General features: G+C 50.0%; 1 protein-coding gene across 6 annotated transcripts in view; it reads right to left on the bottom strand.

Moving 5' to 3' along the window:
* COLEC11 (collectin subfamily member 11) overlaps positions 1 to 2,000 on the bottom strand; it is a 49,533-nt gene extending 47,533 nt beyond the window's left edge. For all 6 annotated transcript variants that reach the window (NR_045659.2, NM_199235.3, NM_024027.5 and 3 more), the window contains exon 1: positions 1,944 to 2,000. The gene's annotated coding sequence lies outside the window, so the exon portion shown is untranslated. The remainder of the gene's footprint in view (positions 1 to 1,943) is intronic.

Here is a 15,329-nt window from a genome sequence, read left to right as displayed (position 1 = left end):
CACTGATCCCCGGAACAGCCCAGGCTGGGATTTCTCATGCCTTCACTCGCTCCACTCATTCACTGACCCCGCTGCCCATTCACAGAGTTTCTGTCCACTTTCCTGCGAGGGGCCCCAGCTAGGCCTATGGGCACAAAGGAGGCACAGGCCCTGCAGCGGGGCGCTCTCAGACGCACAGCAGGAACCAGGGCAGGTAGGCACAGGGTGAGGGCACCCAGGCGCCCGAAGGAGTCTCTGCTTCCCAGAGGTCTCGCCCTCTGACTGCCTTCTTAGAAGAGGAATTCCATTTTGTAAACGGAGAAGCCACAGCTACCCCCAGGACCTCTTTAAGAACAACATCCTTATCTCCCAGCCAGGGCCCAAGACGCTCAGGGCCCTCCCATCAATGGAAGGGGCAGACTTGACAAGCAGGGGAGAGGGGGTTAAACGTGGAATCCTGAGAGGAAATACATGTTATGAATGAAATAAACAATGGGGCCAGGCCCAGTGGCTCATGCCTATAATCCTAGCATTTTGGGAGGCCAAGGTGGGCAGATCACCTGGTTAGGAGTTCGAGAGCAGCCTGGCCAACATGGTGAAACCCCCCTCTCCACTAAAAAGTACAAAAATTAGCCAGGTGCCATGATGCACACCTGTAATCCCAGCTACTCAGGAAGCTGAGGCAGGATAATCGCTTGAACCTGGGAGGCGGAGGTTGCAGTGAGCCAAGACGGTGCCATTGCACTCCAGCCTGGGTGACAGAGCCAGAGTCCATCTCAAAAAAAAAAAAAAAAATGAAATAGACAATGAGAAAAAATCATGGCTTCAGTTGCCAAACATGCTATTCTACTTTTTCATTAAGTATCTACAGCAAGGCCCAGCATCTTACAGGCACCACAAATACCTCCTAAGAACCACATCCCTGAAGCATGAGGAGGTTCCTCTCACTGGGGACTGCCCCAGCCCCACCGCGGTGTTTCCCTCCCTACAGTGACAGAGCACCTTCTGGGGCAGCCTGGATTCCACCCACAACAGCACACGCTCCTCTTAGCTTCTTACCAAGAGCACAGAGTAAGAAGGCACCTATCCTCTCTTATCTTCCCCCAGCGGTCAGCACATTACCGGTGTGCTCTCTTCTACGGTACATGGATTTTTCAAAATTGTAAACAAAATCGAATAGCTGTGAAAGATTGGGGCAGTGCTCTGCCTACCACAGGCAAAGTGCTTCCCATCAAACCAAAATTCCAGCTATGCACATGAGATGGCTTTAAACGTTCATCTTTAAATTGAGAACGACCACATCACCTCAGCTCTAAAAAGACCGCCAGTTCCTAGCGCAAGGCATCCAGGTAGGAGGCAGCGGCCCTAGGAAACTTTCCTCCTTTCCAATTTTGGAGACAAGATGACCCCACTTGGTTTTAGATGACCCCATCTGAACTCAAAGTCTTTCCCTGGAAAGTTGCCAAAGCAAGGCCCACCTTTCCCCCACCTCTCTGATCCCCGTTCCTGAGCCCAACACAGAGCCACTGGTCCCTGGGGGCAGTCGTGGCTGCTGTCCGCCTGGCCCGTCAGACGCTGCTCAGGCTCAGGAACAATCGTCAGGTTGTGAGACCAGGTACTGCACTGCGGTTTGGAATTAGCGAAGACTGTTTAGCCCCCTGGGCCTTGGGCTGTTTGAAATCTGCCACCCAAGAGGGTGACTCCATCATCCAGCACCTCTCATGGGTCGGATCCCATCTCATCAATAGGCTCCACGAATTTCCGCCATGAACTAATCAAACTTTGGAACTCTGGTGCCAGATTTATTGAGACTCAATCTTTTGCCTGGATCTAGGGACAGATTCCCATCCTCCTCGCTCAGCAGGAGCCCACCTCGCGCCCAGTTTGGAAGCCTGCCTGCCTCCCCTCTGCACTGTCATAGCCCCGTGAAACCCTCAGCTGCAGCCCCGGGCAGAGTCTCCTACCTGAGCACGCGCTAGGCGAACGGGGCGTCCTGCCCGTCGCTGGCCCGCGAGGACACTGCCCCCAGGCGCCTCATGGCTGCTATTTAGAGAGGCGGCCGCAGTCCCAGGCGCAGGGAGAAGCCTCGGCCCGGGCCATCAGACAGCCCAGCAAATCAGGCCGCCCGGCCGCAGCGTTATCTCGGGGAGCTTCCTGTCTGCGCTGCGTCCACCGTCCTGCCTGGGGAGTGTGGGAACGCCTGGAACTCCCTGAGGCCGGCTTTGGGGTGGGGGGCAGGACCCTCCTGGAGATGCCCCTGCTAACTCTCCAACCCGAACATCCCAATTTTGTTTCTTTTTTGGCTTTCTCTTCTTTCTTTTCGTTTTTTGAAAAAATAAGCATGACTACTGTGGAAATTCAAAAGAGCATAAAGAGGAGGGACGCTCATCACCTGGCACCAATCAGACAGAAACGAGGGCAGCTGACTGATCTCCTTTCCTTTGTTCATATGGGATTTCGCTTCAAAAGTCAGCAAGAGCTTGACCACGGCCTGTGGAGACCTGGCCACACGTGAGTCCGGAAACTCACTCTACGCATTTAAGTTTCATTTAAAGGCAAGTTTCATTTAATGCCAGAAACAAATGTTAGTCAGGGGCTGGACAGATCCAGCTTCTATGCAGCCCGAATCTTGCATGTTTTGGGGGATAGCGGAACCTTCTTTAAGAAAAAGATACATATAAAATTACAATCATAAGAAGCTAGGTTCAAAGGTGAATATTTATTTAGACTGAGAAATCATAAAATAAAACTGTAAAAACACAAATTCCACACACATAATAAAATTAAGGAAAAATAATGGATTCTTTATTTAAAACGTATTATTGAAGTTATACATAAATTTGACAACTTAGACAAAATGAACCACTTCTTGAAAACACGAACTACAACATGCCCAGCATGAAACAGATAATTCAACAGCCCTATGCCAAGGAAGGGAATTGAACTTGCAATTTAAACGCTCCCCAGAAAGACATTTCAGGGCCAGATGGTTTCACAGGAGGGTCTACAAAACGTTTAAAGAAAAATTAACACCAATTCTACACATCCTCTTCCAGAAAATAGAAGAGGAGGGAATATTTACCAATTCATTTTATAAAGTTGATTATTACCCTGATACCAAAACCAGACAAAGACAGAACAAAAACACTATAGACCAATAACCCTCATGAATATAGATGAGAAAATCCTTAATAAAATATTAACAGACAGAATTCAGCAATATAGAAAAAGATTTATCAACTATGACCAAATGGGGTTTCATCCAGGAATGTGAGGCTATGTCAATATTCAAAGCTCCTTTGATAAAAACCCATTAACAAGCTAACAAAGAAAATCAAATGAATATCTCAATTTATATAGAAACAGCATTTGGCATAAACCAACACCTTTCATGATAAAAACTCTCAGAAAAATAGGTGCAGGGGACCTTCCTCAACTTGATAAAGAGCATCTGTCAAAGGCAAAGCCACAGCTAACATCATACTTCATGGGCAAAAATGGAATGTTTCCTTCCTGAGATCAAGACAAGGCAAGGGTGTCCACTCTTACCTCTTACTCAATGCAGTGCTAAAGTTCTAGGCACACCAGCAGGGCCCGAAAAGGAAATAAACAGCATGTAGATTCGAAAAATAAAATAACTCTGTCCCTTGTTGCAGATGACATGGTTGTCTACTTAGAAAATCCCAGAGTCTACAAAAGAGCTCCTGGAAACTATTAAATCAGTGTGACAGGTGACAGGATACAAGGCAAACATTTAAAAAACCAAGTAGGCCAGGCGTGGTGGCTCACACCTGTAATCCCAGCACTTCGGGAGGCCAAGGTGGGAGGATCACCTGAGGTCAGGAGTTAGAGACCAGCCTGGCCAACAAGGCAAAACCCCATCTCTACTAAAAATACAAAAATCAGCCAGGCATGGTGGTACATGCCTGCAATCCCAGCTACTCGGGAGGCTGACGCAGGAGAATCACTTGACTCCGGGAGGCAGAGGGTGCAGTGAGTTGAGGTTGTGCCATTGCACTCCAGCCTGGGTGACAGAGCGAGACTCTGTCTCAAAAAAATAATAAACAATGAAAAACCAAGCAGATTTCTATAAAATAACAATGAACTCATAGACACCAAAATTCAAAATAATATCATTTACAATTGCTTTAAAAAAGGAATACTTAGGTGTAAATCTAACAAAACATATATAGAACTTACATGCTGAAAACTACAAAATGCTGCTGAAAACCTCAAAAAAGATCTGAATAAACAGAGAAACACGTCGTCTTCATAGATTAGGAGACTCACCCCAAGCACAGTGGCTCATGCCTGTAATCCCAGCATTTTGCAGGGCTGAAGTGGGAGGATCACTTGAGTCCAAGAGTTCAAGACCAGCTTGGGCAACATGGTGAAACCCTGTCTCTAACAAAAACAATACAAAAATTAGCCGGGCATAGTAGAATGGTCCCAGCTACTCAGGAGGCTGAGGTGGAAGGATCACTTGAGCCCGGGAGGTGGATGTTGCAGTTAGCTGAGATCGCACCACTGCACCCCAGCCTGGGTGACAGAGTGGGACCCTGTTTCAAAAATAATAAAATGAAAATTAAAAAGTATAGATTGGGAGACTCAACAGAGTAAAAATGTTGATTCTCCCCCAAGTTAATATACAGTACAAGCTTAACACAATTTCTATCAAAATCATAACAATAATTTTTGTAGATATAGACACGGCTATTCTAAAGTGTATATGAAAAGAGAAAGGAACTAGAATAGCTAAAACAATTTTGAAAAAGAATAAAATAGGAGGAATCAGCTCTCCGTCTCCGTCTCCGTCTCCGTCTCCGTCCCCGTCCCCGTCCCCGTCCCCGTCCCCGTCCCCGTCCCCGTCTCCGTCTCCCTCCATGGTCTCCTTCCACGGTCTCCCTCTGATGCCGAGCCAAGGCTGGACGGTGCTGCTGCCATCTCGGCTCACTGCAGCCTCCCTGCCTGATTCTCCTGCCTCAGCCTGCTGAGTGCCTGCGATTGCAGGCGCACGCCGCCACGCCTCACTGGTTTTCGTTTTTTTTTTTGGTGGAGACGGGGTTTTGCTGTGTTGGCCGGGCTGGTCTCCAGCTCCTAGCCGCGAGTGATCCGCCAGCCTCGGCCTCCCGGGGTGCCGGGATTGCGGACGGAGTCTCGTTCACTCAGTGCTCAGTGGTGCCCAGGCTGGAGTGCAGTGGCGTGATCTCGGCTCGCTACAGCCTCCACCTCCCAGCCGCCTGCCTTGGCCCCCCAAAGTGCCGAGATTGCAGCCTCTGCCCAGCCGCCACCCCGTCTGGGAAGTGAGGAGCGTCTCTGCTTGGCCACCCATCGTCTGGGATATGAGGAGCCTCTCTGCCTGGCTGCCCAGTCTGGAAAGTGAGGAGCGTCTCTGCCCGGCCGCCATCCCATCTAGGAAGCGAGGAGCGCCTCTTCCCCGCCGCCTTCCCATCTAGGAAGTGAGGAGCGTCTCTGCCCGGCCGCCCATCGTCTGAGATGTGGGGAGCACCTCTGCCCCGCCGCCCTGTCTGGGATGTGAGGAGCGCCTCTGCTGGCCGCAACCCTATCTGGGAGGTGAGGAGCGTCTCTGCCCGGCCGCCCCGTCTGAGAAGTGAGGAAACCCTCTGCCTGGCAACCGCCCCGTCTGAGAAGTGAGGAGCCCCTCCGTCCGGCAGCCACCCCGTCTGGGAAGTGAGGAGCGTCTCCGCCCGGCAGCCACCCCGTCCGGGAGGGAGGTGGGGGGGGTCAGCCCCCCGCCCGGCCAGCCGCCCCATCCGGGAGGTGAGGGGCTCCTCTGCCCGGCCGCCCCTACTGGGAAGTGAGGAGCCCCTCTGCCTGGCCAGTCGCCCCGTCCAGGAGGGAGGTGGGGGGGTCAGCCCCCCGCCCGGCCAGCCGCCCAGTCCGGGAGGTGAGGGGCGCCTCTGCCCGGCCGCCCCTACTGGGAAGTGAGGAGCCCCTCTGCCCGGCCAGCCGCCCCGTCCGGGAGGGGGGAGGGGGGGTCAGCCCCCTGCCCGGCCAGCCGCCCCGTCCGGGAGGGAGGTGGGGGGGTCAGCCCCCCGCCCGGCCGGCCGCCCCGTCCGGGAGGTGAGGGGCGCCTCTGCCCCGCCGCCCCTACTGGGAAGTGAGGACCCCTCTGCCCAGCCAGCCGCCCCGTCCGGGAGGGAGGTGGGGGGGTCAGCCCCCCGCCCGGCCAGCCGCCCAGTCCGGGAGGGAGGTGGGGGGATCAGCCCCCCGCCCGGCCAGCCGCCCCGTCCGGGAGGGAGGTGGGGGGGTCAGCCCCCCGCCCGGCCAGCCGCCCAGTCCGGGAGGGAGGTGGGGGGATCAGCCCCCCGCTCGGCCAGCCGCCCCGTCCGGGAGGGAGGTGGGGGGGTCAGCCCCCCGCCTGGCCAGCCGCCCCATCCGGGAGGGAGGTGGGGGGTCAGCCCCCCACCTGGCCAGCCGCCCCGTCCGGGAGGGAGGTGGGGGGGGTCAGCCCCCCGCCTGGCCAGCCGCCCCGTCCGGGAGGTGAGGGGCGCCTCTGCCCGGCCGCCCCTACTGGGAAGTGAGGAGCCCCTCTGCCCGGCCAGCCGCCCCGTCCGGGAGGGAGGTGGGGGGGTCAGCCCCCCGCCCGGCCAGCCGCCCCGTCCGGGAGGGAGGTGGGGGGGGTCAGCCCCCCGCCCGACCAGCCGCCCCGTCCGGGAGGGAGGTGGGGGGATCAGCCCCCCGCCTGGCCAGCCGCCCCGTCCGGGAGGTGAGGGGCGCCTCTGCCCGGCCGCCCCTACTGGGAAGTGAGGAACCCCTCTGCCCTGCTTGAAGGCAGCATGCTCGTTAAGAGTCATCACCACTCCCTAATCTTAAGTACCCAGGGACACAAACACTGCGGAAGGCCGCAGGGTCCTCTGCCTAGGAAAACCAGAGACCTTTGTTCACTTGTTTATCTGCTGACCTTCCCTCCACTATTGTCCTATGACCCTGCCAAATCCCCCTCTGCGAGAAACACCCAAGAATGATCAATAAAAAATAAAAATAAAAAATAAAAAATAAAAAAAAAAAAGAAAAAAAAAAAAAAAGAAAAAAAAAAAAGAATAAAATAGGAGGAATCAATCTACCCAATTCTAAGACATTATACAATGGAACAGAACAGAGAACCCGAAACTAGATCTACACCGATACACTCAACTGCTTTCTCACAAAAGTACAAAAGCGATTCAGTGGAGGGAAGACAGCATGTGCCATGAACGGTGTGGAGCAACAGGACGTCCATAGGCAAAAAAGATGAACCCCAATATAAGCCCCACACCTCATACAAAAACTATCTCAAAATAGATCATGGGCTTCAATGTAAAATGTAAACTTACAAAACTTTTAGAAAAAATGGAAGAAAAATCTTCAGGATCTAAGGCTAGGCAAATCATTCTTTGATATTCTAACATCAAAGTACAATCTATAAGAGCAATAACTGATCAATGGAACTTCACCAAAATTAAAACCTTTTGCTCTGCAGAAGACCCCGTGAAGAAAATGCAAAGACAAGCTACAGGATGGGAGGAAGCATCTGTCAGCCACAAATCCAGCAAAGGAGAGTGTCGGGAATATAGAAAGAACTCTCCGAACTTAACAGGAAAATAACAAACTGCCCAAGTAGCAAATGGGCAAAAACATGAAGAGACATTTCACTAAAGAGGATATACAGTCGGCAAATAAGCACATGAAAAGATGTTCAACGCCATTAGCCATTAGAGAAATGCAAACAAAACCCACAGTGAACTATCACGACTTGTCTATCAAGGTGGCTAAAACAAAATCCCAACACCAAATGCTGGCATGAGGGGAAACAGGGGGCAATGTGAAATGGTGCAGCCAGCTGGGTGTGGTGGCTCAGGCCCGTGGTCCCAGCACTCTGGGAGGCTGAGGCGGGCGGATCACGAGGTCAAGAGATCGAGGCCATCCTGGCCAACATGGTGAAGCCCCATCGCTACTAAAAATAAAAAATTAGCCAGTTGTGGTGGCGCATGCCTGTAGTCCCAGCTACTCCAGAGGCTGAGGCAGGAGAATCGCTTGAGCCCAGGAGGCGGAGGTTGCAGTGAGCCAAGATCACACCACTGCACTCCAGCCTGGACAACAGAGTGAGACTCCGTCACAAAAAAAAAAAAAATGAAAGAAAAAAGAAATGGTGCAGCCACGCTGGAAAAGTCCGAGAGTGCCTCAAAAAACTAAACGTACAACCACACTACCACCCAGCAGCTGCACTCTAGGAATTATTCCAGAGAAGTGGAAAGCTGTGTTCACACGCACCGGGGCCGTCCAGTCTTTTGGCTTCCCTGGGCCACATTGGAAGAAGAATTGCCTTGGGCCACACATAAAATACACTAACAATAGTTGGTGAGCAAAAAAAAAAAAAAATCTCACGATGTTTTAAGAAAGCTTACGAATTTGTGTAGGGCCACGTTCAAGCCATCCTGGGCCACATGCAGCCCCAGGGCTGTGGGTTGGACAAGCTTGCTGTACACCAAGGTTTACAGCAGCTTTACCTATAATATCCCAAAACAGGATAATCAGCCTGGACATCCTTCAACAGGTGAATGGTTAAACAGACTGTGGCACATGCCCGCCATGGAACGCGGCCCTGTCACAAAGAGGAACCCACCATAGACCCACGCAGCACCTTGTAGGAACTAGGGACTCTACTCACTGAAAAATACCAGCCCCAAAATGCTCCTTACTGTATGATTGTCTTTATACAACACTCCTGAGATGGCCAAACTACAGAAACTGAGAAGAGACTCACGGTTGCCAGGGATCCAGGAGGAAGCGGGGCAGAGGGAAGGGGGTGCTGTAGGAGGGTGCCGTGCGGGGTCCCCGTGGTGACTGCAGCGAGGCACGTCCCTGTATCTGGCTGGGAGACTGTCCTGCAGTTTCACAAGGTGCTGCCCTTGGGGATATTAAGTACACAGCCTCTCTTACAACTGCATGTGAACCTATAATTATCTCTAGATATTAATAAAAGTTTAGTTTTTAAAAAGCTGCCTGACAGCCCTTATGTTTTTGTTTATGTTTTTGGGGGGGTTTTTTGGGGTTTTTTTTTTTTTTTTTGAGATGGAGTCTCGTTCCGTTGCCCAGGCTGGAGTGCAGTGGGGTGATCTCAGCTCACTGCAAGCTCCACCTCCTCAGTTCAAGCGATTCTTCTGCCTCAGCCTCCTGAGTAGCTGGGACTACAGGCGCCCGCCACCACACCCGGCTAATTTTATGTATTTTAGTAGAGACGGGGTTTCACCGTGTTAGCCAGGATGGTCTCGCTCTTCTGACTTCATGATCCACCCACCTCGGCCTCCCAAAGTGCTGGGAGTACAGATGTGAACCATCGCACCCAGCCCAGCCCTTACGTTTTTATATTATTTGGCTGTATATTCTTTCATTGCCTGCTCCCGTGAACACAAATTTCTACAAAGAGAACAGAAGATGACTCAGTATTTGCTCTTTCTTGCATGGTTATTTAAATATCTTCTTATTGGTAGCTTCAAAACAGTTTACTTCAGCTCCACAAGCCTTTATCAGTGACGCCATGAACAGTTTTTGGATAGCTGTCAAGTCTGGGGAAACCTCTATCAGTTTTCTTTCATATACTAGGTGTTTGATTTCAGGCATCTCAACGATTGGGTTTTGGTTTGTTTTGTTCAGAGTAATCCTAGTCTTTGAAATGACCACACCACTGACCAATTTGTAGCTCATGACCTCCTCCTGCACCATGAACCACCCAGCATATCCAGCTGAAATCCAAAATAATATAACCCCAACTCAACGTCAGTTTGTTCTCCCCACCCCTCGGGCTCAGGGACATTTGACAATGTGCAGGAGACATTTTTAGTTGTCACAACTGGGGACATGGTACTGGCTTCTAGTGGGAGAGGACAGGGAGGCTGCTAAACATTCTACAATGCATGGGATGGCCCCACAGCACAGAGCTCTCCAGCCCTAAAAGCTAACAGTGCCAAGGTGGGGAAACCCTCAGCAGGATGCAAAGATGCCTGGGCCGCATCGGCACCACTCAGCAGGAGGCTGTGACAGAGGAACCAGACAGCGGTCTTCACTCATTGTGCTTTTTTTTTTTTTTTTTTTGAGACAGAGTCTGGCTCTGTCGCCCAGGCTGGAGTGCAGTGGCGCGATCTCGGCTCACTGCAAGCTCCACCTCCTGGGTTCACGTCATTCTCCTGCCTCAGCCTCCCAAGCAGCTGGGACTACAGGCGCCCGCCACCACGCCCAGCTAATTTTTTGTATTTTTAGTAGAGACGGGGTTTCACCGTGTTAGCCAGGATGGTCTCGATCTCCTGACCTCGTGATCCGCCCGCCTCGGCCTCCCAAAGTGCTGGGATTACAGGCGTGAGCCACCGCACCCGGCCCATTGTGCTTAATATTTTATTTGTGCTAATTTTATACAAATATATGACCACAGAACTCAATGCTAAGGCCTCTCCAGCCGGATCTTTATTGGCCTCATGGTGAATCTGCCTCTATTGTCTGAAGTGGGGTGTGGAGCACAGTGTGCCCAGGCCAGGCCCATCACATCATGTCCTTTGGGCAGCCATCCCCTCTGCCCGTGGAGGACGCAAACTGGGGTGAAGAGAACGGAACGTGTGTAGAACCCGGTGCCAGCTAGGATCATTCACGACCGCTCGCTCATGGAGGCCTCACAGCTACCCTCATAGCAAGGAGGAGTTGTCGCCCCTGTTTCAGAGTTCAAGAATGAGAGACCTTGCCCAAGATCACAGTTCACAAAGAACGTGCCAGTCGGAGTCTGGGCCCGTCACACTAAAGCTGCACTTGTCACCAAGCAAGCCAGCAAGGCCCACAGGACCCCCCAAGACCCAAGCGCCCAGCGTCTGTTTCACAGCTGATGTGGGTGTTTTCCGTTTGTTTTTGTGTTCCTGAAACGTTAAGGGCTTTTTAAAAATTAAAAAAAAAAAAAAATGCCAATAAGCCGATAATTACTCTCAGTTATATAAATAAGTGATCATTCAACTTCCTATTTCGAGTACACTGTATTGGAAGCACAGTTAGACTATAAACCGTGTTCACACCTGCACTGGGAACAGAAGGGCCAGGAGGCCTTCCCCCTCCTCCTTTTTCCTCTCCTCCCCGCAGCTTTTTCTTGAAAGTGTTGAAGTCGTGGCTGCTGGGAACAGCCTTTTGCCTCGTGAACCCTGACCCTCTCATGGAACGAGTCCACGCCAGGGGGCCAGGAAAAGACTCTGGCGCAAATCCCAAATCGTATTTACATTTCTCAGAGATAACTCAGAAATCTGGACAGCAGGAGCCGGATGAAAACCCCGCTTGTCTCCGGATGGGAATTCTCACTGGGATCACACAGTGCATGCTGCCAAATCTCTGGGACATTGTCCATGAGGACATTAACGGCAGCCACCTCTCCCCGTCCTTAAGTTCCCGGACAGAGTGGAGCCCTCTGGCCTCCTGCCTCAGCAGTGTGGGGCTGGGCCTCCATCTTCTCCCCGGCGCTTCCCTCTGACCGTGCCAGTCCGGCAGCGCACAGCTGTCCAGGAGCACAGGCATGAGATCCGGAGCACAGGCATGAGATCCGGAGCACAGGCATGAGATCCGGAGCACAGGCATGAGATCCGGAGCACAGGCATGAGATCTGGAGCACAGGCATGAGATCTGGAGCACAGCCTCCCTGCCTGGGCGCATGAGGGCGGGGCCCCACCACTGTCTCATCAGAGACTATTAGGGAGTCAACTATCAGAGGTCCTCAAACTTGAGCTTGCATCAGAATCGACTGGAAAACTTCTTAAAACACATGGCTGGGCCCCACCCTAAAGCTGCCGATGAGATATGCTGCCGGTGGGACCTCAGTGTTCTCGTTTTTAAAACTTTCCAAGCATTGGAAACCACTGCCTACCTCCCAGGGTCCTTGGAAGGATTTGAGCTAATCCTTCAAGAGTCTACCCTGGTGCCTGACCCACATGGACCGACACTCAGTGAAGACATAGGAGCTGTTCTGGTGTCCCCAAACACCATCCTACTCACCCCCAACTGTCTGCCACACTAGACACTCCTGCTCCAGCACAGGCCTTAAAACTGAAAATCAAGTTAACCCCAGGCCAGGCATGCTGGCTCATGCCTGTAATTCCAGCACCTTGGGAGGCCAAGAAGGGAGGCTCACTTGAACCCAGGAGTTCAAAATCAGCCTGGGTAACCTAGCAAGACCCCCATCTTTACAAAAAAAAATTTTTTTTTTTTAATTAGCTGGGTGTGCACCTGTAGTACCAGCTACTCAGGAGGCTGACGCGGGAGGATCGCTTGAGCTGGGGAGTTTGAGGCTGCACTGAGCCATGATCACACCTCTGCATTCCAGCCTGGGTGACAGTGCAAGACTCTTGTCTTAAAAAGATAAAATCTGTAACTGGTTTGGTTTTCAAGGACAGGAAAACACATTCATTCATCTTTACTAAGTGCCAAATACTCTGAGAACTTGTCTGTATTTACTGATACTTTAAACTTGTAGTACTTAAAGTCAGTGGCTTTTAGAATTAGAGGGACCCTCAGACTCAGCTAGCCCACGCTCTTTCATTTCCCAGTGGGAAACCTGAGGTCCACGAAGGAATGATGCAGCTCATCTTCAGGCCACCAAACACAGGGAGGGACTCCCCACCCACCACATCAAACTCCCCAAGAGCTTTAGGCGAAGATTTAGCCATGTCAGGTTAAGATGTGGTCAGCGCTGCTTTCAGGGTCCCTGAGTGAAACGGTCAGGTACTATCACAAGCTTGCAGCATGCCAGAGATCACAGTCGGGAATAAAACTGGCAGAATGCTAAGGGAGTTCTGTCAGATAATGATTTAAAAGCTAAGTAAGGAGTGATTTGCTCTACTTTCAAGAGGAAGCTTAGGCCATTTTAGATCCAGATAATTAACAGCACGCTGACTTTAATGGTGGCCTCATTAAGTGTGTTATTACAGAGCACGGCCCTGATGTTATCTGTATAGCATTTTGAGTAAAATGTGATTGCTAGAGGCATTCAGACTAAACTTCATTACAGTCACTCACCCACTGTTGCTGCTATTGATTATAGTGAGAAAATTCGATGGAGTTAAAGCATTTCCAACAGCTCATCTAGCAATAACAGGAATCTTAGGAACCAGGCCCATCTCCAGTCATTGAAATGTCTCTTTCACTAGGCTGTGTTTGCATTGTCCTGTTATAAGTTTTAATAAATATCAAGTCTAATACCTGCTTTACAGGTCTAGTATCATCTCAGTGCCTGAAAACATTCAAGATGCTGTACTAAAGAACTGTGTGACTTTGTATACCTTCACTAGTTCCTTTATTGTGTTGTATGAATCACGGAGAAAAGGCTGCACTAATGTACCTAGAAGGGAAAAGGATTTTTTAAAACCACTATTACTTCCCATAGCAAATGCATACATTCATGCCTGAAGGTTTACTATCTAATCTTTGTTCAACAAAATCATGAAAAAGTTTATATTTACCTTTCAAAAATATTTGATATATTTAAGCTTTCTTGACAAAAAAAGATAACTTAAGTTTTCTTGACAAAGTTTACCGATGAAAATTGTGCGTGCTTAGCACGCTAGGCCCCAAACTCTTCCATTGTGCACTCCAAGTGAAACTTTTGAGTACCTCCAATGCGTAGTTAATACAGAACGCACCACGGTACTAATAGGGTATGTACGTTATAAAAACACAGAAGGTTTAAATGAGTAACCACAGTAATGATATCTAAGTCTTTTTGTTCACCAAGGTATTAATTTTAGAGAAAGCAATGATTGTTATACTTTGATATAACAATTTAAAATCTAGTTTTAAGTTTGGCACTTGATTTTAATAATTATCACAGCTAAAAGATTCCTAAATGATATGTTTAGAATTTGCTTCAAAAATCTCCAGCGAAAAAAGGGTGAGAATAGATGAAACAAGATTAGCAACGTGTCAGTACTAGCTCAAGCTGGGTGATGGGACAGAGGCCCACTACTGATTCTGTTATACTTTTGAGTATGACAGAAAACTTCCACTATGAGGGTTTTTTTTTTAAAGACCCCTTACAAAGATAGATGCGGACAGAAGCATATCTTTGGCTATGCTTCCCATCTAGCAAATGTGAAGTTTTTGTTGAAAAATCAACCAAAATTTTCCATCTTTCTTGGTATTCTGGTCATCTTTTGTTCTTGCCAAGTAATTAGAAGGGATTAACAAATAGATTCAAAGCCAACTGAGACTCTTCACAAGCATCTTAAATAGGTAAGAATATTCTATTTCCGAGTTTTTATGTTATTGATACCTTACAGGTCAATGTAGCTTTCACCTAAAATGGAAGCATATCCCAATGGACATCCTAAAGTAAGCTCATTCCTTACACTAATTTCAAAAAACAATTGTTTTCTCACATGTTAAAGTTTCTTCTTTTCCTGGAGATGGGTTCTTTAATGTCTTCTAGGTATGCTACTGATAGCCACTGGCATCGTAGGAAAATCAAGAAATTCAGAACTTTTTTTTTTTTTTGATACGGAGTCTCGCTCTTATTGCCCAGGCTGGAGTGCAATGGTGACATCTTGGCTCACTGCAAACTCCACCTCCTGGGCTCAAGCAATTCTCCTCCTCAGCCTCCTGAGTAGCTGGGATTACAGGCACCCACCACCACGCCTGGCTAATTTTTGTATTTTTAGTAGAGACGGGGTTTTACCATGTTGGCCAGGCTGGTCTCGAACTCCTGACCTCAGGTGATCCGCCCACCTCAGCCTCCCCAAGTGCTGGGATTACAGACCTGAGTGAGCCACCATGCCCCGCCTGGAACATTTTTTTAAAAGGAAAATGCATAACATTCTAGGACAGCCTGTGTAAATCTTGTTTCCCAAACCAGTGAATCTGTGAATTCCAATACACTAAATGTTTGAGATGACACAGATGAAGCCTCCCAAAAAGCCACTAAACAGGTCGCCAGGAAATGGGGGGTGGGGGGAGAAGGGTGCTTCGTGCTGGAGAAGGGTGAGAATAGGTTTGCAGCACCCTGGGCCTAAGTAAATACCTCATTCCAGAGAAACCAGGGCGACCCCGACAGGGACAGGGTGAAGACAGCGGAAATGGGTTAGGGACCTACGGACTACTGAGGATAAAGGGCCAGCCTTGGTAACTGACTGCTTAACGGGAATCTTCCTCACTACCCACTCATCCACAAAGGCCTCAGCCAAGTACCATCAAGAGCGCTTGCCAAAGCTTTGAAAACATCCCGTGTGCCTGCACCGCCATGTGAATTCTGCCTGGACAACAGCCTCAGGAGCCTGACAGTAGTTCTACTCCTAAGAGGCCTGACCCTCACCTGCAAAATGGGAAAATACTATTGT

The sequence above is a fragment of the Homo sapiens genome, chromosome 2, assembly GCF_000001405.40.
Source record: "Homo sapiens chromosome 2, GRCh38.p14 Primary Assembly".
Classification (NCBI taxonomy): domain Eukaryota; kingdom Metazoa; phylum Chordata; class Mammalia; order Primates; family Hominidae; genus Homo; species Homo sapiens.
The sequence above is the reverse complement of the archived record's forward strand: the minus strand, read 5'-3'. Positions and strand labels throughout refer to the sequence as shown.